This window comes from Homo sapiens, chromosome 20, assembly GCF_000001405.40.
Source record: "Homo sapiens chromosome 20, GRCh38.p14 Primary Assembly".
Classification (NCBI taxonomy): domain Eukaryota; kingdom Metazoa; phylum Chordata; class Mammalia; order Primates; family Hominidae; genus Homo; species Homo sapiens.
In genome coordinates, this window is record NC_000020.11 from 34,654,072 (window position 1) to 34,678,552 (window position 24,481).

At 46.5% G+C, this 24,481-nt stretch overlaps 1 protein-coding gene across 2 annotated transcripts in view, besides 4 other annotated features; it reads right to left on the minus strand.

Annotated features, from left to right (window-relative positions):
• The window catches only part of PIGU (phosphatidylinositol glycan anchor biosynthesis class U), a 116,551-nt gene extending 93,530 nt beyond the window's left edge, over positions 1-23,021 (minus strand). For both annotated transcript variants that reach the window (XM_017027664.2, NM_080476.5), the window contains exons 1-2: positions 22,885-23,021; positions 3,109-3,173 (exon numbers count right to left, since the gene is read on the minus strand). In XM_017027664.2, the coding sequence (XP_016883153.1) occupies positions 3,109-3,173; positions 22,885-23,014 (195 nt within the window). In that variant the 5' untranslated portion in view covers positions 23,015-23,021. The remainder of the gene's footprint in view (positions 1-3,108; positions 3,174-22,884) is intronic.
• Positions 22,489-23,375: an enhancer, noted in NCBI's record as "H3K27ac-H3K4me1 hESC enhancer chr20:33264364-33265250 (GRCh37/hg19 assembly coordinates)". NCBI's record gives its function as "activates a minimal SCP1, AML or CMV promoter by ChIP-STARR-seq in primed H9 embryonic stem cells {active_cell/tissue: H9 hESC(primed)}" and the evidence as "EXISTENCE:reporter gene assay evidence [ECO:0000049][PMID:30033119]".
• Positions 22,641-22,740: a silencer, noted in NCBI's record as "silent region_12841". NCBI's record gives its function as "represses an Ori minimal core promoter by ATAC-STARR-seq in GM12878 lymphoblastoid cells {active_cell/tissue: GM12878}" and the evidence as "EXISTENCE:reporter gene assay evidence [ECO:0000049][PMID:35858748]".
• Positions 22,981-23,090: a silencer, noted in NCBI's record as "silent region_12842". NCBI's record gives its function as "represses an Ori minimal core promoter by ATAC-STARR-seq in GM12878 lymphoblastoid cells {active_cell/tissue: GM12878}" and the evidence as "EXISTENCE:reporter gene assay evidence [ECO:0000049][PMID:35858748]".
• Positions 23,376-24,261: an enhancer, noted in NCBI's record as "H3K27ac-H3K4me1 hESC enhancer chr20:33265251-33266136 (GRCh37/hg19 assembly coordinates)". NCBI's record gives its function as "activates a minimal SCP1, AML or CMV promoter by ChIP-STARR-seq in naive H9 embryonic stem cells {active_cell/tissue: H9 hESC(naive)}" and the evidence as "EXISTENCE:reporter gene assay evidence [ECO:0000049][PMID:30033119]".

Here is a 24,481-nt window from a genome sequence, read left to right on the forward strand (position 1 = left end):
TGGTCTCGAACTCCCGACCTTGTGATCCGCCCGCCTAGGCTTCCCAAAGTGCTGGGATTACAGGCGTGAGCCACCGTGCCCGGCCCTGTGTGCTTATTAAGAGTCTCTTGGCCGGGCACGGTGGCTCACGCCTGTAATCCTAGCACTTTGGGAGGCCGAGGCAGGTGGATCACCTGAGGTCAGGAGTTCGAGAGCAGCCTGGCCAAGGTGGCAAAACCCTGTCTCTACTAAAAATTCAAAAATTAGCCAGGCGTGGTGGCACACGCCTATAACTCCAGCTACTTGGGATGCTGAGGCAGGACAATCACTTGAATCCAGGGTGGGGGAAGGGGGAGGGGGTTGCAGAGGTTGCAATGAGCCGAGTTGGCGCCACTTCACTCCACCTGGGCAAAAGAGCAAAACTCTGTCTCAAAAAAAAAAAAAAAAAAGTCTCTGAAGTTGTTCCTAACCTGTTTCTGCCAGTAGTTCTTGTTATTGCAGTTTGATTAGATATTAACCCAGAGATAATAAAATTGAAATGCAAAAGACAGCTGTTATTTCTATGAGGACCAAGTTGAATGCTTTTGAAAGATTAGACAGAAGAGCCAAAAAACAAACAAAAAAAAACTGTTCTCAAAGTACATATGAGAGAGATAACTATAAAAATTAAGGCCAGCCAGGAACGGTGACTCACAGCTGTAATCCCAGCACTTTGGGAGGCCGAGGCAGGCGGATCACAAGGTCAGGAGTTCGAGACCAGCCTGGCCAATATGGTGAAACCCCGTCTCCACTAAAAATACAAAAATTAGCCAGGCATGGTGGCGCGTGCCTGTGGTCCCAGCTTCTCGGGAGGCTGAGGCAGAGGAGTCGCTTGAACCCGGGAGGCAGAGGTTGCAGTGAGCTGAGATTGCACCATTGCACTCCATCCTGGGCGACAGAGCGAGACTCTGTCTCAAAAAAAAAAAAAAAATTAAGGCCAAGCACAGTGGCTCATGCCTGTAATCCCAACACTTTCGGAGGCCAAGGCAGGAGGATTACTTGAGTGCAGGAGTTCAAGACCAGCCTGGGCAACATAGCAAGACCCCATCTCTACAAAGAAATTTTTAAAAATTAGCCAGCTGTGGTGGTACATGTCTGTAGTCCTAGCTACTCAGGAGGCTGAGGTGGGAGGACTGCTTGAGCCCAGGAGGTTGAGGCTATAGTAAGCCATGATCATTCCACCACATTCCAGCCTCGGTGACAGAGCAAGACCCTGTCTTTAAAAAAAAAAAATTAGAAGGTACATTGTCAAATTAGAAAACTTCTTTAAAATGATATGGCCAATAAGAACGGAAAGGGCAGTGGGACGCGGTGGCTCACGCCTGTAATCCCAGCACTTTGGGAGGCCAAGGCAGGCGGATCACGAAGTCAGGAGTTTGAGAGCATCCTGGCTAATATGATGAAACCCCGTCTCTACTAAAAACACAAAAAAAAATTAGCCAGGCATAGTCACGGGCACCTGTGGTCCCAGCTACTCCGGAGGCTGAGGCAGGAGAATGGCGTGAACCCAGGAGGCAGAGCTTGCAGTGAGCCAAGATCGTGCCACTGCATTCCAGCCTGGGTGACAGAGCAAGACTCTGTCTCAAAAAAATAAAAAAGAATGGAAAGGGCAGTGGAAAGAAATGTGATGGATGTGGTGAGGAGGGTCTTCAGGGCTTTGTATGCCCCTCTAAGGTATCTGGATTTTATCCTGAGGTGAATGGTGAACATTCAAAGGTGCCGAGCAAGACGGTGACAGAAACAGATTCACATTTTAGAAAGATGGCTCTGACTACAGAATACAGTGAATGAGCAAGACTGAATGCAAAAAGACCTGTCAGGAAGCTGTTGCTGTAAACAAGAGATAATCTGGACCTAATTAAGAGTGTTTTCACTATTCTTTTTTTTTTTTTTTTTTTTTTTGAGATGGAGTCTCGCCCTGTGGCCCAGGCTGGAGTGCAATGGTGCAGTCTCGGCTCACTGCAAACTCTGCCTCCCGGGTTCAAACAATTGTCCTGCCTCAGCCTCCCAAGTAGCTGGGATTACAGGCACCTGCCACCATGCCCAGCTATTTTTTGTATGTTTAGTAGAGCTGGGGGTTTACCACGTTGGCCAGGCTGGTCTTGAACTCCTGACCTCGTGATCCACTTGCGTTGGCCTCCCAAAGTGCTGGGATTACAGGTGTAAGCCACCGCGCCTGGCCTGTTTATAATTTTTTTTTTTTTTTTTTTTGAGACGGAGTCTCGCTCTGTCACCCAGGCTGGAGTGCAGTGGTGCGATCTCGGCTCACTGCAAGCTCCACCTCCCGGGTTCGCGCCATTCTCCTGCCTCAGCCTCCCGAGTAGCTGGGACTACAGGCGCCCACTACCGCGCCCAGCTAATCTTTTGTATTTTCAGTAGAGACGGGGTTTCACCGTGTTAGCCAGGATGGTTTCGATTTCCTGACCTCGTGATCCGCCCACTTCGGCCTCCCAAAGTGCTGGGATTACAGGTATGAGCCACTGCACCCGGCCTGTTTTTACTATTCTTAAGAGCTAATTTTAAATAAAAATTAGCTGGGCATGGTGGTGCACACTTGTGGTCCCTACTAAGGAGGCTCAAGTAGGAGGATCGCTTGAGCCCAGGAGGTCAAGGCTGCAGTGAACCGTGATTGTGTCACTGCACTCTAGCCTGGGTGACAGAATAAGACCCTGCCAAAAAAAAAAAAAAAAGCTAATTTTATGGGTTAAGTAAGTTTTTCTGGGCTTTCTAAGGAAACAACATTACTGCCGTAGTTTTCATGGGAAATCATATTCCAAACAACAAATTACATGCTAATTAGCATACAACCTATTTGCGGACTAAGGACTGTTTGCAACTTATTTGCCTTTACAAATGGTAACTTCTACAGAAGCCTCATCTGCTTCCCCAGTTACAATCTTAATCTGGATCATTTCCATTGCAATTGCAAAACCTCTTTCTTATGCAGAGGACATCTAAAAACGGGCTGTTTCTAAATATGATCGTCAAGAATACATCTTTTTAAATGTTTGTACAAAACAGAGGTTAGGCTTTGGTATCTGTGACTGTAAACTACTCTTGGTACCCAGAAAAGAAAATAAGAACACTTACTTCATGAAATACTGCTCCAGAATACGGAGATACTCCCAAGTCCAACAGTGAAAGGCCTTCAACCACTGAAAAATTAGATATACAAGTTCACTCAGACTAAGCAGGCAGCTACAGACCAAATTGTTAGATACCCCCACAACCAAAAAGGGCCTTAGCGTTTATCTAACCCCCTTTACCTCATCCCCAGCAAGTGGCTTTAAGTCTTGAACATTTCTGATGACGGGAAACTCTCTTTCATGGACAGCATCCTTTTTCATTGTGGGCAGCACTCATTATAAGACAGTTTTATGTTAAACTATCTGCTTCCTTTTAGTTCCTTGTAACTCTTACCAACTCTCAAAAATGTCTCATTTATGCCTAATCTTCCCCATTCCAAAGCACAATAAGATAACAAATTAGAAGCTGGTGAGAAATGTTGCCATAGTGTGAGGAAATGGGCAGTCACTCTCATATGCTGCTCATTTGAGTGACATTTGTATTAACTTTTCGACAGGGCAATATGTGCTTTCTAAGTGTGTGCCTTCTGACCCAGATATGATACTTCTTAGGGCAGTTTATCCTATGGAAATAACCTGACAAGTACCCAAAGAGGTATGTTCCTTACACTGTTCAGAGTACTGAACAATTAGAAATAATCTGAATGTCCATTAATGAAAATTTATTTCAATGAATTATGACATAATATATATCTCTATATAATGGAATGCTTTATACTTAAAATTATACTGTGTTATAAATAATAAATAACCTCTCCCTCTCCCTCTCCCTCACCCTCTCCCTCTCTCTCTCTCCACGGTCTCCCTCTCCCTCTCTTTCCACGGTCTCCCTCTCCCTCTCTTTCCACGGTCTCCCTCTGATGCCGAGCCGAAGCTGGACTGTACTGCTGCCATCTCGGCTCACTGCAACCTCCCTGCCTGATTCTCCTGCCTCAGCCTGCCCAGTGCCTGCGATTGCAGGCGCGCGCCGCCACGCCTGACTGGTTTTCGTATTTTTTTGGTGGAGACGGGGTTTCGCTGTGTTGGCCGGGCCGGTCTCCAGCTCCTAACCGCGAGTGATCCGCCAACCTCGGCCTCCCGAGGTGCCGGGATTGCAGACGGAGTCTCGTTCACTCAGTGCTCAGTGGTGCCCAGGCTGGAGTGCAGTGGCGTGATCTCGGCTCGCTACAACCTCCACCTCCCAGCCACCTGCCTTGGCCTCCCAAAGTGCCGAGATTGCAGCCTCTGCCCGGCCGCCACCCCGTCTGGGAAGTGAGGAGCATCTCTGCCTGGCCGCCCATCATCTGGGATGTGAGGAGCCCCTCTGCCTGGCTGCCCAGTCTGGAAAGTGAGGAGCCTCTCTGCCCAGCCGCCATCCCATCTAGGAAGTGAGGAGCGTCTCTGCCCGGCCGCCCATCGTCTGAGATGTGGGCAGTGCCTCTGCCCCACCGCCCCGTCTGGGATGTGAGGAGCGCCTCTGCCCAGCCGCGACCCCATCTGGGAGGTGAGGAGCGTCTCTGCCCAGCCGCCCCGTCTGAGAAGTGAGGAGACCCTCTGCCTGACAACCGCCCCGTCTGAGAAGTGAGGAGCCCCTCCGCCCGGCAGCCGCCCCGTCTGAGAAGTGAGGAGCCCCTCCGCCTGGCAGCCGCCCCGTCTGAGAAGCGAGGAGCCCCTCCGCCCGGCAGCCACCCCGTCTGGGAAGTGAGGAGCATCTCCGCCCGGCAGCCACCCCGTCCAGGAGGGAGGTGGGGGTCAACCCCCGCCAGGCCAGCCGCCCCGTCCGGGAGGGAGGCGGAGGGGTCAGCCCCCCGCCCAGCCAGCCGCCCCGTCCGGGAGGTGAGGGGCGCCTCTGCCCGGCCACCCCCTACTGGGAAGTGAGGAGCCCCTCTGCCCGGCCAGCTGCCCCGTCCGGGAGGGAGGTGGGGGGGTCAGCCCCCCACCCGGCCAGCCGCCCCGTCCGGGAGGTGAGGGGCGCCTCTGCCCGGCTGCCCCTACTGGGAAGTGAGGAGCCCCTCTGCCCGGCCAGCCGCCCCGTCCAGGAGGGAGGTGGGGGGGTCAGCCCCCCGCCCGGCCAGCCGCCCCGTCCGGGAGGGAGGTGGGGGGGTCAGCCCCCCGCCCGGCCAGCCACCCCGTCCGGGAGGGAGGTGGGGGGGTCAGCCCCCCGCCCGGCCAGCCGCCCCGTCCGGGAGGTGAGGGGCGCCTCTGCCCGGCCGCCCCTACTGGGAAGTGAGGAGCCCCTCTGCCCGGCCAGCCGCCCGGTCCGGGAGGGAGGTGGGGGGGTCAGCCCCCGGCCCGGCCAGCCGCCCCGTCCGGGAGGTGAGGGGCGCCTCTGCCCGGCTGCCCCTACTGGGAAGTGAGGAGCCCCTCTGCCCAGCCACCACCCAGTCTTGGAGGTGTACCCAACAGCTCATTGAGAACGGGCCAGGATGACAATGGCGGTTTTGTGGAATAGAAAGGGGGGAAAGGTGGGGAAAAGATTGAGAAATCGGATGGTGGCCGTGTCTGTATAGAAAGAAGTAGACATGGGAGACTTTTCATTTTGTTCTGTACTAAGAAAAATTATTCTGCCTTGGGATCCTGTTGATCTGTGACCTTACCCCCAACCCCATGCTCTCTGAAACATGTGCTGTGTCCACTCAGGGTTAAATGGATTAAGGGCGGTGCAAGATGTGCTTTGTTAAACAGATGCTTGAAGGCAGCATGCTTGTTAAGAGTCATCACCACTCCCTAATCTCAAGTACCCAGGGACACAAACACTGCGGAAGGCTGCAGGGTCCTCTGCCTAGGAAAACCAGAGACCTTTGTTCACTTGTTTATCTGCTGACCTTCCCTCCACTATTGTCCTATGACCCTGCCAAATCCCCCTCTGCGAGAAACACCCAAGAATGATCAATAAAAAAAAAAAAAAAAAAAAGAACAGCTTTAAAAAATAAATAAATAATAAATAAATAAGTGGAAGAGAAAGGAGAGCTTTTCCCTACAGAGAATTCTAAGGATCAAATGTAGAAGGAACAAAGAAATAGAAAATCACCACTTGGCGTACTCCATCCATAGTAATAATCACAAAAGGCAAGAATCATCAATGGATGCTAAAATTAGTGGGCAAAAATATGAGAAACAGAATATTTGCAAGGGGAAAAATAAAATTTTACATGGGCGGTGGTTCATGCCTGTAATCCCAGCACTTTGGGAGGCCAAGGCAGGTGGATCACCTGAGGTCAGGCGTTCAAGACCAGCCTGGCCAACATGGCAAAACCCTGTCTCCATTAAAAATACAAAAATTAGCCAGGCATGGTGGCGCGCACCTGTAATCCCAGCTACTTGGGAGAGTGAGGCAGGAGAATCGCTTGAACCTGGGAGGCGGAGGTTGCAATGAGCCAAGATTGTGCCACTGCACTCCAGCCTGGGCAACAGAGTGAAACTCCTTCTCAAAAAGCAAACAAACAAAAAAGCATAACCTCAGTCTAACTGTGAGAAGACATCAGGCAGACCCAAATGGAGACATAAAATAACTGGCAAGTACTCTTAAAAATATTAAGCCTATGTACAACTACTAGGTATCCATAAAAATTAAATTTAAAAAATTGTAAATGTTAAGTCTGAGGAAGTATCCCAGATTATAAGAGACTAAGGCGACAAAACAACTAAGTGCAAAGTGGAATCACAGGTTGGATATTGGACTAGAAATGGACATTAGTGGGGCAAATTGATAAAATTCTAATAAGGCCTGTAATTAGTTAATAGCATTGTATCAATGTTAATTTTCTGGTTTAGGTCATTGCACTATGGTGATGTAGAATGTTAACATTAGAAAAAGGTGAATGAAAGGTAAACAGGAACTCTTGTAACTTTTTTGAAAATCTAAAATTATTTTAAAATTAAGAGTTAAAATTAAAAAGTACACTAGAGATCTATATTTAATGAAGAAAAGCAGCCCATAAAATATTCTTAAATGAAAAGTAGGTCAAAAGACAGCATATAAAATATAATAGGTTTTTTTGGTGATTTTTTTAAATGACTATTTTAGCAATTTCTCTTGGCTTTTACTTATTTTCCTTTGCAAATTTTCTGGGGGTTGAGGGGGTACATGTCCAGGTTTGTTACATGGGTAAATTGCATGTCATAGAGGTTTGGAGTGCAGATAATCTCATCACCCAGGTAATAAGCACAGTACCCGACAGGTAGCTTTTCCATCTTCACCCTCCTCCCACCCTCCACCCTCAAGTAGGCCCAGGTATCTACTGCTACTTTCTTTGTGTCCATGTGTACTCAGTGTTTAGCTTCCACTTATAAGTGAGAATATGCTGTATTTGGTTTTCTGTTCTTGCATTAATTTGCTTAGGATAATGTCTCCAGCTCCATCCATGTTGGTGCAAAGGACATGAGCTCATTCTTTTTTTTTTTTTAATGCTGCATAGTGTTCCATGGTGTATATGTACATTTTCTTTATCCAGTCCACCACTGATGGGCATTCAGGTTAATTCCATGTCTTTGCTATTGTGAATACTGCTGTGATGAACATACACATGCATGCATCTTTAGGGCAGAACAATTTCTATTCCTTTAGGTATATACCTAGTAATGGGATTGATGGGTCGAATGGCAGTTCTGTTTTAGGATCTTTGAGAAATCTTCAAACTGCTTTCCACGGTGGCTGAATTAATTTATATTCCCACCAGTCGTGTATAAGTGTTTCCTTTTCTCCACAACCTTGCCAGCATCTATTATTTTTTGACTTTTTAATAATGGTCATTCTGACTGGTATGAGATAGTATCTCATTGTGGTTTTGAGATAGTATCTCATTGTGGTTTTGATTTGCATTTCTCTAATGACTAATTATGTTGAGCATTTTTTCATATGCTTGTTGGCCACATGCATGTCTTCTTTTGAGATGTGTCTGTTCATGTCCTGTGCCCCCCCGCCAACTGTTTTTCCAAGACAGGTTCTCGCTCTATTGCCCAGGTTGAAGTACAGTGGCATGATCAGGGCTCACTGCAGCCTTGACCTCTCAGGCTCAATCGATCCTCCCACCTCAGCCTCTCGAGCAGTTGGGACTTCAGGTGTGCATCACCATGCCTGGCTAATTTTTGTATTTTTTGTAGAGATGGGGTTTCACCATGTTACTCAGGCTGGTCTCAAACTCCTGGGCTCAAGCAATCTTCCTGCCTCAGCCTCCCAAAGTGCTGGAATTACAGTGGTGCTGGAATTACAGGTATGAGCCACCATGCCCAGCCCTTTGCCTTTTTTTTTTTTTTTTTGAGACAGAGTCTCGGTCTGTCACCCAGGCTGGAATGCAGTGGCTTGATCTTGGCTCACTGCAACCTCTGCCTCCTGGGTTCAAGCAATTCTCCTGCCTCAGCCACCCAGTAGCTAGGATTACAGGTGCCTGCCACCAGACCACCTAATTTTTGTATTTTTAGTGGAGTCGGGGTTTTACTATGTTGGCCAGGCTAGTCTTGAACTCCTGACCTCAAGGGATCTGCCTGCCTCAGCTTTTCAAAATTGCACATTTTTAAATAGGTTTGTTTGTAGAGTTTTATCTTAAACTTTTATAAGCATTCATTTAATTATTTGAAAGAGAGAGAATGAACATGTACTCAATGAGAAATGCCTGGAAAAATAAATATTTAAATGTTCACAATGACCATTTCTAGGTGATAAGATTACAGAAGATGCTTGATTTTTTTCATCTTCATTTTATGAATCTTTAGCAATGAGGATGTATTATTTTACAATTATTCAAAAGAAGTAGTTTTTGTTTTTGTTTTGGAGACAGGGTCTCGCTCTGTCATCCAGACTGGAGTACAGGAATTACAAACGTGGCTCACTGCAGCCTCAACCTCCTGGGCACAAGCGATCATCCCACCTCAGCCTCCCAAGTAGCTGAGAACACAGGCCAATGCCACTACACCCAGCTAAATTTTTTTTTGGTAGAGACAGTGTCTTGCCATGTTGCGCAGGCTGGTCTTGAACTCCTGGGCTCAAGCCATCTTCCCACCTTGACCTCCCAAAGTGGTGGGATTACAGGCGTGAGCCACTGCACCTAGCTACTTTTTATTTTTGAATCATGTGACTGAGTTACCTATTAAAAAATAGGTAGGCAGGGATTCAAGGAGTTCAAGATCAGCCTGGGCAACATAAGGAGACCCTGTCTCTATAAAAAAACAAAAATTAGCTGGGGCATGGTGATGTGTGCCTGTGGTCCCAGCTACTTGGGAGGCTGAAGTGGGAAGATCAATTGAGCCCAGGAGGTCAAAGCTGCAGCGAGTCATGATCATGCTACTGCACTCCAGCCTGGGTGACAGAGGGAAACCCTGTATCAAATAAACAAAAACAGAAAGAAAAGAAAAGAAAAAAGACCACTACATATTTGTAAGGAGTGGGCTATAATTATGACTTTAAACTTTATAAGACTACCCTAAAGAAGGTAGGGTAGTCCTATAATCAATTTTATAATTCATGGTGGCCATAAAATAAAACAAAGCATATTGCTCAAGACCGTTGTAACTGGTCCTTATACTGCAACCAAAAGGAAATCTCAAGGAGCTGCATAAAGAGGTTGCTGCGTAATAGCTATTAAATCCTTCACTAACAGCTTTACTGGAGACCCAAGGAGATAATTCATCAGGTCAAATCACAAGGCATTTCTCAATCTTAGCCAATGGCATCCTACCACAGAGCAGTAAAAAAGCAACTCTACAGGGCACCAGTATGCGGCCGTCCAGGCACATCACTCTCCACTTGTCTGGTTTAATCCAGATGGAAATTTTTGAGACACAGCTTGAGGACAGACTGCACAACTTTTAGGCAATTGCCTAAAATGTAATTCATCTCAGATATGCTTTTGCTAGATACTGTATATCAGTGGATTTGTTAGTGTATTCTCTGGCAAATGCCTGGAGTGTGGCTCTGCTATATTGATGATTAAATATGGCATCATATTACTTAATTGATAACTGATCTGGGCAAAGGGTCAGACTATGTAAAACATGTAAAACATTTTTTTGTCTTTCTTTTTTGAGACTCACTCTGTTGCCCGGGCCGGAGTGTAATGGCTTGATCATAGCTCATCGCAGCCTCAACCTTCCAGGCTCAAGTGATCCTCCCACCCCAGCCTCCCAAGTAGCTGGGACTATAGGTGCATGCCACCACACCCAGCTAATTTTTAAATTTTTTTTGTAGAAACGGGCTCTTGCTATATTGCCCAGGCTGGTAAAAACATTTTTAAAAACCCTACCATTTACTACAATATTAAACAGTTGACCGGGCACAGTGGCTCACGCCTGTAATCCCAGCACTTTGGGAGGCCCAGGCGGGTGGATCACCTGAGGTCAAGCACTCAAGACCAGCCTGGCCAACATGGTGAAACCCTGTCTTTACTAAAAATACAAAAATTAGCCTATTTGGGAGGCTAAGGTAGAAGAATCGCTTGAACCTGGGAGGTGGAGGTTGCAGTGAGACAAGATTGTGCCATTGCATTCCAGCCTGGGCAACAAAAGTAAAACTCCGTCTCAAAGCATAAAAAATAAAAAACCAACAAAAAAAAGTATATGGCTGGGCATGGTGGCTCACGCCTGTAATCCCAGCACTTTGAGAGGCCAAGGAGGGTATATCGCTTGAGCTCAGGAATTCGAGACTGGCCTGGAAACATGGTGAAACCCTGTCTCTACCAAAAATACAAAAAATTAGCCAGGCATGGTGGAGAGTGCAGCTACTCAGCAGGCTGAGGTGGGAGGATTACCTGAGCCCAAGAGTTCAAGGCTGCAGTAAGCTGTGATTGTGCCACTGCACTCCAGCCTGGGCGACAGAGCCAGACCCCGTCTCAAAAAAAGAAAAAAAAAGTATAGGAAGAACATAAACTCAGAATATTTTTTGTTTGTTTGTTTTTGAGACAGTCTCACACTCTGTCGCCCACGCTAGAGTGCAGTGGCATGATCTTGGCTCACTGCAACCTTCACCTCCCGGGTTCAAGCAATTCTCCTGCCTCAGCCTCCTGAGTAGCTGGGATTACAGATGCACACCACCATGTATGGCCAATTTTTTTTTTTTTTTTTTTTTTTTTTTTTGAGACTGAGTCTCGCTCTGTCGCCCAGGCTGGAGTGCAGTGGCGCGATCTCGGCTCACTGCAAGCTCCGCCTCCCGGGTTCACGCCATTCTCCTGCCTCAGCCTCCCGAGTAGCTGGGACTACAGGCGCCCGCTACCACGCCCGGCTAATTTTTTGTATTTTTAGTAGAGACGGGGTTTCACCTTGTTAGCCAGGATGGTCTCGATCTCCTGACCTCGTGATCCGCCCGCCTCGGCCTCCCAAAGTGCTGGGATTACAGGCGTGAGCCACCGCGCCCGGCCCAATTTTTTTTGTATTTTTAGTAGAGGCGGGGTTTTACCATGTTGGCCAGGCTGATCTCACACTCCTGACTTCATGATCTGCCCGCCTCAGCCTCCCAAAGTGCTGGGATTACAGGCGGGAGCCACCACGCCTGGCCCAGAATATTTTTAATGGAATACATTTAGTTTTAATGATAAACTTATTACTATCCTTACTTTTCTAATTTTGGTGCACACGATTAAAAACTGTGACCTGGTCTGCAGTGCATTTGGAAACATCTAAGGTACATAGATGTTTCATCTATGTACATCTAAGGCACATAAAACATACTGGTACAAGAGTACCAACATCCTCTTTAAAATAGTGAATCTACTCTCCATAGAAAAGAATAATCAGGGCTGTCAAATTCTAATATATATAAAAATGTTCCAATAGGCTGAGCATTGTAATCTCAATACGTTGGGAGGCCGAAGTGGGTGGATCACCTGAGGTCAGGAGTTCAAGACCAGCCTGACCAATATGGTGAAACCCCGTCTCTACTAAGAATATAAAAATTAGCCAGGCATGGTGGCATGCACTTGTAGTCTCAGCTCCTCGGGAAGCTGAGACAGGAGAACTGCTTGAACCCAGAATGCGGAGGTTGTAGTGAGCCAAGATCGTGCCACTGTACTCCAGCCCGGGCGATAGAACAAGACTCCATCTCAAAAAAAAAAGTTCCAGTAATATCATGCTGAAAACACTTTAAAGTCAGTTTCACAAAGTGCCTATTAGGGGGAAAAAACAAAAAGACAATAAAGATACCCATAGAACTCAACTTTATGCCTTTCTTTTTCCTGGAGTATCCTCCAAAAATAAAACCTGTGAAAATACACCAGAGCATCCAAGTAACATTTCTCACTTCATGGGACTATTATCTAACAACTAATATAAGAGCTAAATAATTATGGCCAACTATTGTAAAATGTAAGTTTTTTTTTTTTTGATAAAGACTCTCAACTCTTAACTGATAACTAACCCATGAAGCAAGCTTATTTAATTAATTAATTTATTTATTTATTTATTTTTAGAGACAGGGGCCTTAATCTTTTGCCCAGGCTGGAATGCAGTGGCACAATCAGCTCACTGCAGCCTTAACCTCCCGGGCTCAAGCTCAGCCTCCCACGTAGCTGGGACTACTGGAGTGCACCACTGCACCTGACTAATTCTTTTTTTTTTTTTTTTTTTTTTTTTTTGAGACAGAGTCTCGCTCTGTCACCCAGGCTGGAGTGCAGTGGCGCGATCTCGGCTCACTGCAAACTCCACCTCCCGGGTTGACGCCATTCTCCTGCCTCAGCCTCCCGAGTAGCTGGGACTCCAGGCGCCTGCCACCACGCCAGGCTAATTTTTTTTGTATTTTTAGTAGAGACGAGGTTTCACCGTATTAGCCAGGATGGTCTCGATCTCCTGACCTCGTGATCCACCCGCCTCGGCCTCCCAAAGTGCTGGGATTACAGGCGTGAGCCACCGCGCCCAGCCAGCACCTGACTAATTCTTATTTTTTGTAGAGATGGGGTCCTGCTATGTTGCTCAGGCTGGTCTCAAACTCCCGGCCTCAAGCGATCTACCCACCCTGGCCTCCCAAAGTGCTAAGATTACAGGCATGAGCCACTATGCCTGGCCAATAATTCTTAGTTACCTTGGTATACTTTTCCTATGGGTGATAATAAAAGCATATCATCCTGTATAAGACAAATATTATTTTTCAGTTTCCCGTATCAATAAGGACAAAAGCTTGTTCAAAAGCAGTAGTGTCCCTATACTTCTAGCTGAGGGCCTAAGAAGCAGCATCACTCCAGCTGCAATGAACACACCTAGCATTCAGAACTTTGTTTCTAAATAACATTCTCTAATAAAAGGAGCCAGGGCCCTTGAAGAAGTGGTCAATTCCAGGGCTGAACTAAGCAAGATAAACCTGGATCATCTTATAGTTCTAGAATGTAATAAAGTGCTTTTAAAAAAAAAAAGTGAGATAGAGGTATGGCAAAAGGACAAAGGGGTCAAGATGAAAGCGGTCCCAATGGCCAAAACTAGAATAATCCAAACAACAGAATGAATATAGTATACAGAGTCCAGAGTATAAAATATCCAAATCTATACTGACATAAATAGTTAAATAAATGCAAAGAAATGACAACTCTTCCTTACAGAAGAATTTTAATTATTAAATAAAAATGAATGAGAGAAACAGAAAAGTCACCATTGAAACACCTGAGTAATGACTGTTACAGGCAAGATTAACCTATGAATGCAAAAATTAGTAGGCAAAAATTTAAAAACAGGATATTTGCAGAGCTCCAAAGAATAGCCCCTAAAATGCTGATTAATTACAAAGGGAAACAGTCACTTTATGGTGGAGAAATCTGGCAGACACTACATTAACCAAGGGATTATGGCTGACATCACCAGTATTAGGGCATTTCAATATGCACCCCTGATCCAATGCACTGAGAGGACCATATCATCTCAGGGGTATTCTTCCCCAAAATCCATTACCTCCGTCAAACCACAAGAAAACATTAGACAAAACCAAATTGAGGGACATTCTACAAAATACCTGACCAGAGCTCTTCAAAGTGTCAAGGTCATAAAAGATGAGGAAATGCTAAGGAACTATCACAGATAAACGACTAAGGAGATATAACAACTAAACGCAATATGTGGCCAGGCGCGGTGGCTCATGCCTGTAATCACAGCATTTTGGGAGGTCGAGGCAGGTGGATCACCTGAGGTCAGGAATTCGATACCAGCCTGGCCAGCATGGTGAAACCCCGTATCCACTAAAAATACAAAGATTAGCTGGCATGGTGGCAGGGACCTATAATCCCAGCTACTCGGGAGGCTAAGGCAGGAGAATCTCCTGAATCTGGGAGGTGGAGGTTGCAGTGAGCCGAGATCTCGCCACTGCACTCCAGCCTGGGTGACAGAGCGAGACTCCGTCTCAAAAAAAAAAAAAAAAAAAAAAGGGGGGGGCGGGCGTGCTGGCTCACACCCGTAATCCCAGCACTTTGGAGGCTGAAGTGGGCAAATCATGAGGTCAGGAGATCGAAACCATCCTGGCTAACATGGTGAAATCCCATCTCTACTAAAAATATAAGAAATTAGCCAGGCGAGGTGGCGGGCACCTGTAGTCCCAGCTACTCGGGAGGCTGAGGCAGGAGAATGGCATGAAACCGGAAGGCGGAGCTTGCAGTGAACCAAGATCGTGTCACTGCACTCCAGCCTGGGTGACAGAGCGAGACTCTGACTCAAAAAAATAAATAAATAAATAAATAAAATAAAAATAAAAATGCAATATGGAATATTAGATCATAGAACAGAAAAAAAATTAGTGAAAAAATGGTAAAACTTTTTTTTTTTTTTTTTTTTTTTTTTTTTTTTTACACAGGGTCTTGCTCTGGTGCCAGGCTACATACAGTGCAGTGGCATGATCATAGCTCAATGCAGCTTCCTCATCCCAGGCTCAAGCAATCCTCCCACTTCAGCTTCCCAAGTAGCTGGGACCACAGGTGTGCGCCACCAAACCAGCTAACTCTTTTTTAATTTTATGTAGAGAGGGAGTCTCCCTATGTTGCCCAGACTGGTCATAAATTCCAGAGCTCAAGGCATCCCCTCGCCTCAGCCTCCCAAAGTGCTGAGATTATAGGCATAGCCACTGTGCCCAGCAAAAATGGTAAAATCTTAACAACTATGGTTTAGTTAATAGTATTGTACCAATGCTATCATCTTAGTTTTGATCACTGTACTATGACTATGTAGGATATTAACATTGGGGGAAGCTGGGTGAAGGGTATACAGATCTCTCTGCAATATTTTTGCAAGTATTCTGTAAGTTTAAAATGATTTCAAGTAAAAAGCTAAAAAACAGGCTGGTGCAGTGACTCATGCCTGTAATCCCAGCACTTTGGGAGGCAGAGGCAGGTAGATCACTTGAGGTCAGGAATTCAAGACCAGCCTGACCAACATGGTGAAACCCTATCTCTACCAAAAATACAAAAATTAGCTGGGTGTGGTGGCACACACCTGTAATCCCAGCTACTCAGGAGGCTGAGGCAAGAGAATTGCTTGAACCCAGGAGGTGGAGGTTGCAGTAGGCCAAGATCACACCACTGCACTCCAGCCTGGGCAACAGAGTGAGACTCTGGCTGAAAAAAAAAAAAAAAAGTAAAAAACAAAAAACAGTGGTATCTAGTCTCTGGATCCAGCTGCCTATTTGCAGGAAATAGAGATGATAGAGGAACATGTTAAATTGTATCATGATATATAATCAGGAAAATTCAAACTATGGGAGATCTGTCTGGATTCTTCAATAGATAAACACTATGGAAGAGAAAGGGAACCTGGGACCCTAAAAATTAAGAGAGATTGAAAACACAAACAAAAACTTTTTTCTTAGGGGCAAGACTAAGCCTAACGGCAAATGAACTAGGGATGTTCATTTGAGTAATAAAACTTTTAAAAATACAAAGATGTCATTACATATAAAAGTCAGGATAATAGTTACTTATGAAAAGAGTGAGGGGATTGTGACGAAGGGGGGCTTCTGAAGTGAGTGGCAAAGTTCTGATTCTTGACTTGGATGACAGTTACAAAAATGTTCACCTTACAATAATTCACCATAGAATACATTGTTATGTGTGTCTTACAAATTCTGTTTAATTTTGTAATAACGGCTTTTTTTTTTTTTTTGAGACAAAGTCTTGCTCTATTGCCCAGGCTGGAGTGCAGTGGCATGATCTCAGCTCACTGCAACCTCCACCTCCTGAGTTCAAGTGATTCTCCTGCCTCAGCCTCCTGAGTAGCTGGGACTACAGGCTCCTGCCACCACACCCAGCTAATTTTTGTATTTTTAGTAGAGACAAGGTTTCACCATGTTGCCTAGGCCGGTCTCGAACTCAAGCTCAAGCAATCTACCCACCTCCCACCTTAGCCTCCCAAAGTGCTGGGATTACAGGTGTGAGCCACCTCGCCTGGCCATAAAGGCTTTTTTAAGTAGTGGTATCAGAAGTGCTCTTCCTGACCCTGATTCTTTTATTTTTGAGACAAGGTCTTGTTCTGTCGCCCAGGCTGGAGTGCAGTGGTGCAATCTTGGCTCACTGCAGCCTCCACCTCCTGGGCTCAAGCCACCCTCCCACCTCAGTCTCCCAGGTAGCTGGGACTACAGGCACACGCCACCATACCCACCTAATTTTTGTATTTCTTTTTTGTAGAGGTGGGGTTTCACCATGTTATCCAGGCTGGTCTCAAACTCCTAAGCTCAAGTGATCTGCCCACCTCAGCCTGCCAAAGTGCTGGGATTACAGGCTTGAGCCACCATGCCCAGCAACCCTGATTCTCATAGCTGTAGTAGGGGTGGGTTTCTAGATAAGTACTAATAGCTTGGGCTCTACCCTGAACTCAAAAAGCTAAGCCTATACGAACTGTCAATCTTTGGGTGAAAGCCTCAGGAAAGACTAAAACATGGCAGAAAGTTTCTAACATTATTCCTGACAGATATCTAAACAAGATGATACTGGTGGAACAGCCATACCTAAAGATTGCTAGCTCTTCATACAAAATATTATTAGCGAGGTCACCTTGGGCAAATGACTTAATCTCTCCATGCCTCAATTTTCTCATTTATAAAATGGGGTTGATAACAGTTTGCCATTTTAGAGATCAAATTAGTGCATTAACACACCTAAAGTGCTTAGAACAATACCAGGCATGTAAAAAGCATCATATCATTGTTAATTTCTTTCTTTTCTTCTTCCTTTTTTTTTGAGACGGAGTTTTGCTCGTTGCCCAGGCTGGAGTGCAATGGCGCGATCTCGGCTCACCGCAACCTCTGCCCCCCGGGTTCAAGTGATTCTCCTGCCTCAACCTCCCAAGTAGCTGGGATTACAGTCATGCACCACCACGTCCGGCTAATTTTGTATTTTTTTAGTAGAGACAGGGTTTCTCCATGTCGGTCAGGCTAGTCCCGAACTCCTGACCTCAGGTGATCCACCCACCTCGGCCTCCCAAGTGCTGGGATTACAGGCGTTAGCCACCGTGCCCAGCCTGTTAATTTCTTATTAATTTTTTAGAAGCTCCTGCTTTTGTCAAACAGGAAATTCATTCCTTAAAAATTTATTTCTTGGCCGGGCGCAGTGGCTCACACCTGTAATCCACCACTTTGGGAGGCCAAGGCAGGTGGATCACCTGAGATCAGGAGTTTGAGACCAGACTGACTAACATGGTGAAACCCCATCTCTACTAAAAACACAAAATTAGCCAGGTGTGGTGGCTCATGCCTGTAATCTCAGCTACTCAGGAGGCTAAGACAGGAGAATGAATCGTTTGAACCTGAGAGGCAGAGGTTTCAGTGAGCTGAGATTGTGCCATTGCACTCCAGCCAGGGCAACAAGAGTGAAACTCCTTCTCAAAAAAAAAAAAATTTTCTTTTTTTATAAGGCAGAGTCTCACTCTGTCACCTAGGATGGAATGCAGTGGCACGATCTCGGCTCACTGCACCCTCCACCTCTGCCTCCCGGGCCCATGCAATCCTCCTGCCTTAGCGTCCCGAGTAGCTGAGACTACAGGTATGGGCCAAACATGTCCAGCTAATTTTTGTATTTTTTTGTAGAGACAGAGTTTTGCCATGTTGCCCAGGCTGGTCTCAAACTCCTGGGCTCAAGTGATCCTCCCGCCTCGGCCTCCCAAAGTGCTGGGATTACAGGCATGAGCCACAAAACCCGGCCTGGAAATTTATATGTATTTTAGTTACACTATCAAATAAACCGATGGATTTGTAGAAATAGGTAACAGAAAAGATATTTTTCCTGTTGAAATGGATATGTTATTTGTGCCTGCCCAACATCAATCTTCCCTTCTTTTGGTAACAGCACCCTAATTTTTCCTATGGGATACCCCCCTTGTGTACATTTTGGGTGAGACTGCCTCCTTTCCAAAGAGGTAGATACATGACCCAGGCAGACTACAGTAATTGACCGAAGAATTGGTATATGACCCAAATCAGTTCAATGTGACTTAATTCCAGAGCTTTCGTTGCACTTATTCAAAAAAAAAGAGGTCAGGCATGGTGGCTCATGCCTATAATCCCAGCACTTTGGGAGGCCAAGGCAGAAGGATCGCTTGAGGCCAGGAGCTTAAGACCAGCCTAGGCAATATATTGAGACCCCATCTCTACAAAAAACAATAAAAAACAATTAGCAAAGTGTGGGAGCATGCACCAATCCCAGCTGTTTGGGAGGCTGAGTCAAGAGGATCTCTTGAGCCCAGAAGGATGAGGCTGCAGAGAATTATGATCATGCCGCTGCACTCCAGCCTGGGAGACAGAGTGGGACCCTGTCTCTCAAAAAAAAAAAAAAAAAAAAAAAATCAGTCCATACTATAGCCAATCAAAATCTATTTGGATTTGGATCCAGGGCCCCTTTACCCAAAGAACTGATCATTCAAAAATTTAAAATGTCAGCCCGGCGTGGTGGCTCACGCCTGTCATCCCAGCACTTTGGAAGGCCGAGGCGGGTGGATCACGAGGTCAGGAGATCGAGACCATCCTGGCTAACATGGTGAAACCCCGTCTCTACTAAAAATACAAAAAATTAACCGGGTGTGGTGGCGGGTGCCTGTAGTCCCAGCTACTCGGGAGGCTGAGGCAGGAGAATGGCGTAAACCCGGGAGGCGGAGCTTGCAGTGAGCTGAGATTGCACCACTGCACTCCAGCCTGGGTGACAGAGTGAGACTCCGTCTCAAAAAAAAAAAAAAAAAAAATGTAAAATGTCATGTGAAACCAGAAGGAGTCCTACTTTACTATTTTTAAATTCCTGCCTTTTAGGGTTTATATAATCAGCTGCTTTAAAAAATATCCCATTTAAGGTACCCTTTGAAGAAAAGTAATGCTTACAGATGTTGTACCTTCCCTCCCAAATGATACAAATAATCATGCTGATTTAGTCAGATCCAGATGATGGGTGGTTAACAAATCTCTCTCTCTTTCTAGTCCTGACACTGGCCTCAAGCTCCAGACCTAAACCTGTCAGTATTGTACTATCACATTATACACACATGAAACACTACTATGTCCTTTCTGATTCATCTATTTCAGCCCATGTCAGCACTATTTTTCCTAATATCTCAACTCAAAACCTTAGAATTCACCTTTTTGGCTTTCATTATTGTGTTGAGCTTCAACATGGATTATCTCGTTGAACAGGATACATAATTTCCTATTTTACAGATGGAAACACTGACGTTAGAATTCATACAGCTTGGCCGGGCGTGGTGGCTCACGCCTGTAATCCCAGCACTTTGGGAGGCCAAGGCGGGCGGATCACGAGGTCAGGAGATCAAGACCAGCCTGGCTAATATGGTGAAACCTCGTGTCTACTAAAAATACAAAAATTAGCCAGGCATGGTGGCATGTGCCTGTAGTCCCAGCTACTTGGGAGGCTGAGGCAGAAGAATCGCTTGAACCTGGGAGGCAGAGGTTGCAGTGAGCCAAGATCATGCCACTACACTCCAGCCTGGGCAACAGACTGAGACTCCATCTCAAAAACAACAACAACAAAAAAAGCTTGGCGCAGTGGCTCATGCCTGTAATCCCAGCACTTTCACAGGTCAAGGCGGGCGGCTCACCTGAGGTCAGGAGTTTAAGACCAGACTAGCCAACATGGTGAAACTTATCTCTACTAAAAATACAAAAATTAGCTGGGCATGGTGGCGGGCACCTGTAATCCCAGCTACCCAAGAGGCTGAGACGAGATAACAGCCTGAACCTGGGAGGCGGAGGTTGCAGTGAGCCGAGATCGCGCCATTGCACTCCAGCCTGGGCAACAAGAGCAAAATTCTGTCTCAAAAAAAAAAAGAATTCATACAGCTTATAAGTTGCAGAACTAGAGAAAGAGTCAAACCTTTTCTGAGATTCCAGACCCTGCACTCTTAATTACCAAACAACACTGTCTCATCTTTGGATCCTTCACCTGTCCATCCTGTAAGTAACCTCCTGTAAGTAACCAGATCCTATGCTTTCTTCTCTTCCACATTTATTCAACAGTAACTACACACCTACTGTATGCCAGACATAAAAGAATTCAGGAATGAATAAAACAGAATCCTTCAAGGAGCTCATAATATAGTGGAAAAGGCCAGGTGTGGTAGCTTATGCCTGTAATCCCAGCACTTTGAGAGACCCAGATGGGCGGATCACTTGAGCCCAGGAGTTTGAGACCAGCCTAAGCAACATGGTGAAACCCCATCTCTACAAAAAATACAAAAAAATAATAATAATAACAAGTAGGGTTGGTGGTACATGCCTGTAGTCCCAGCTACCAACTACTTGGGAGGCTGAGGAGGGAGGATGTCCTGAGCCCGAGAGGTCAAGGCTGCAGTGACCCATTATCACTGCACTCCAGCCTGAGTGTCAGAGTGAGACCCTGTCTCTTGAAGAAAAAAAAAAAAAAAAAGAGGCCAGGCATGGCGGCTCACACCTGTAATCCCAGCACTTTGGGAGGCCGAGGAAGGCAGATCACCTGAGGTCGGGAGTTCAAGACCAGCCTGACCAACATGGAGAACCCCTGTCTCTACTAAAAATACAAAATTAGCCAGGCATGGTGGTGCATGCCTGTAATCCCAGCTGCCCAGGAGGCTGAGGCAGAAGAATTGCTTGAACCCAGGGGGCGGAGGTTATGGTGAGCCGAGATCGCACCATTGCACTCCAGCTAGGGCAATGAGAGTGAAACTCCATCTCAAAAAAAAAAAAAAAAAAAAAGAGAGAGAGAGAAAATGTGGAAAAACCGGATATAAACAGGTAATTATGAGATAAGAAATGCTCTTAGTAGGGTGTAGAGGAAGAAGGGCCTAATACTGCCTCAGGTTTTCAGTTATCCAGAAGAAAACAGGAACCAAATGGCTTCGATTCATTTCAACAGAAAAATAATACGCAGAGGTAACAAATCCAAGCTCTTACAATCTCAGACATGAATTATTACTATCTTTATTACCATTCCCCAACTAGGAAACCTGGGCAAATTAACTTCTCTAAATTTCAGTTCCCTCATCTGTAAAAGGGGGAAAATAACACCATCTATCACATAGAAATAAATGTGAGGACTAAATGAGAAAAGGTATATGTTACCATTTTTAGAAACCTTAACTCTATTCATAAAACACCCATTCATTATGCCGTTCCCCATACCAACATTCTATGGGATAACATCAAAACGTTAGCCTTGGCCAGGTGCCATGGCTCACGCCTGAAATCCCAGCACTTTGGGAGGCCAAGTGAGACTGCTTGAGTCCAGGAGTTCCAGACCAGCCTGGGCAACATAGAAAGACCCTGTCTCTAAACAAAAAACAAAAACAAAAACAAAAAAACTTTAGCATTTAAAGGACACAAAGGGGACTTCTGGGGTGCTGATACTGTTTCTTGAACTAGGTGCTGGCTACATGAGTGAATACAGTTTTTAAAAATTCATTGAACTCTACACTTACTTAATATGCATTGTATGTATACTGTACTTCAGTAAAAAAAAAAAAAAAAAAGTTGTTTGTTTTTTTTTAATCATCAAACTCTGGCCTAAACCTAGCTTCCACCCCATTACTCCCCTGCTTTGGACATTTCACATCCTTGAACGTTTCTTCATCCTATTTACTTTCTGCTACCTGGAACTCTCCTTTTCTCTAATCTCCCTTTCAAAACCCTACATCCTTCAAGAGTCAGCTCAAATCCCACATTCTGGAAAACTGGAAAGGTAGGGGATAGTTTATTCAGGGTCAGAATACTAAGGAAGGAACTGGGTGGACACATAAAGTATACTTTTCATGAATTATTATAACGATTTGTCTCCCTCACTAGCCTGTGCAGCTACTTCAGGCCAACTTCGCTTTCTCGCTGTAGGCGTTAGTATAAAACAATGTTCGGTGAAGAACTTAGTAAGGAACAGTAACAAAAATTGCCCTGCAAGTCCCAGACTGAGAAGAGACGTCTAAAGCACACGCACACTCTCCTCGCTTAAGCAAAATTGGTCCCCTCATCCCGGACCCCCTCACACATAACCTTTTATCCCAGGGAGCACCCCTGGCGATCCCGCCCCAAATCCCAAACTCCTCTGCAAGCCGCGCTCCACAAGCACCTCCTCCTCTTATTCCAACCCTTCCCACAGACCACACTCCTCGGCTCAGGACACTGAATGGGACACGCCCCCTCAGATCCCCACCACTAGGTGGTCCGGCCCCCAGGGCCCAAACCTCACGACACTGTCCCCACGCCCCGGTCCCCACGCCCCCTCCCCTCACCAGCCCCGCCCTCAGGCCCCGCCCTCTCCAAGAACCCCACGAGACAGTCAGTTAGTTCTCTAGGAACCGCGCGCTGGCGGTCACTGCCCCCGCCTCCCATTCACAGAGGCCGCGGGAGGGCAGGTGGGGCCTGACAGTCTGCTCGAGCCAGTGGCCTCACCTCTCTTCCAAGAGCTCAGTGGGGACACCACCTCCACCCGCTCGGAAATGAACTCGGCCAGACTGGAGCGGAACAAGGCCGCCCGCACTGTCACAGCCACCACCAGCACCAGGACCAAGGGAGCCGCCATGATAACTGGGGCGGGCGCGCGGGCGGGGAGGGAAGGCGAGGCGGAGGAGCCTCGCGCGCTGTGCGCCACGCTCTGTAGTTCCGCGGGTGGGCGCGCGCTGCCGCTGGCGCCGGAGAGGCCAGACGTGGGGACTACGGCTCCCAGAAAGCCTTGCGGCGAGGCGGGCCGGAGCGACGGAAAGCGGGCGCCTCAAGCTGCGTATGCAGAAGGTGGGGCGAAACCTTCTACGATCGCAGGTGTTTTGTGAAGCCGCGCCGCTATAGCGGGGCTGAAACGCTGCTGAAAGTAGAAGCGGAAGTAGTCGCCTTCCTGGGATTGTGAGAGACTTTTAAACAGATGTTAAATTCACTCTTGCGTGTATGTTTTCAATGCCAAAATGTTTATTTTTATTTTTATTTTTATTTTTTTTGAGACGGAGTCTCGCTCTGTCGTCCGGCTGGAGTGCAGTGGCGCGATCTTGGCTCACTGCAACTTCCGCCTCCTGGGTAGCTGGGATGACAGGCGCCCACCACCACGCGCGGCTATTTTTTTTTTTTTTTTTTTTTTGTATTTTTAGTAGAGATGGGGTTTCACCATGTTGGCCAGGTTGGTCTCGAACTCCTGACCTCAGGTGATCCGCCCGCCTCGGCTTCCCAAAATGCTGGGATTACAGGCGTGAGCCACCGCACCCTGCCCAAAATGTTTATGTTTTTTGTTTTTGAGACAGGGTCTCAGTGCCGTCGCCCAGGCTGGAGTGCAGTGGCGCAATCTCAGCTCACTGCAGCCTGGACCTCCCGGGCTCCAGAGTAGCTGGGACCACAGGTGCGCGCCACCACACCCGGCTAAGTTTTTGTACTTTTAGTAGAGACGGGGTTTCGCCATGTTGCCCAGGCTGGTACCTTTTATGTTTTTAAAGAGTGTTAAATGTGTATTTTTTAAAAAATTTATTCTGGCAGTTGTTTGTTAAACGCCAACTATTTTCCAGGCACTATGTTAGGTTCTACAGATGCGTTTTGGAGTAGTAGACTGATTTATTAGCTAGTTCAACAAGTCGCTTAACCCTTGTGTGCTGAAAAATGTGCTGATTATAGGCTAACTAGGGACAGTTGAGGAAGGCTTAGAAATTTTTTTTTTGTTTTGGAAACGGAGTTTCGCTCTTATTGCCCGGGTTGGAGTGCAATGGCGCGATCTCAGCTCACTGCAACCTCCGACTCCCAGGTTCAAGCGATTCTCCTGCCTCAGCCTCCCGAGTAGCTGGGATTACATGCATGCGCCATCACGCCCGGCTAATTTTTTGTAATTTTAGTAGAGACAGGGTTTCTCTATGTTGGTCAGGCTGGTCTCGAACTCCAGACTTCAGGCGATCCACCTGCCTGCCTCGGCCTCCCAAAGTGCTGGGATTACAGGCTTGTGTCATCGTGCCTGGCCGGAAGGCTTAGAAATTTTGCCAGTCGCTTTTAAACACAGGCATTTTTGAAAATTAAGACA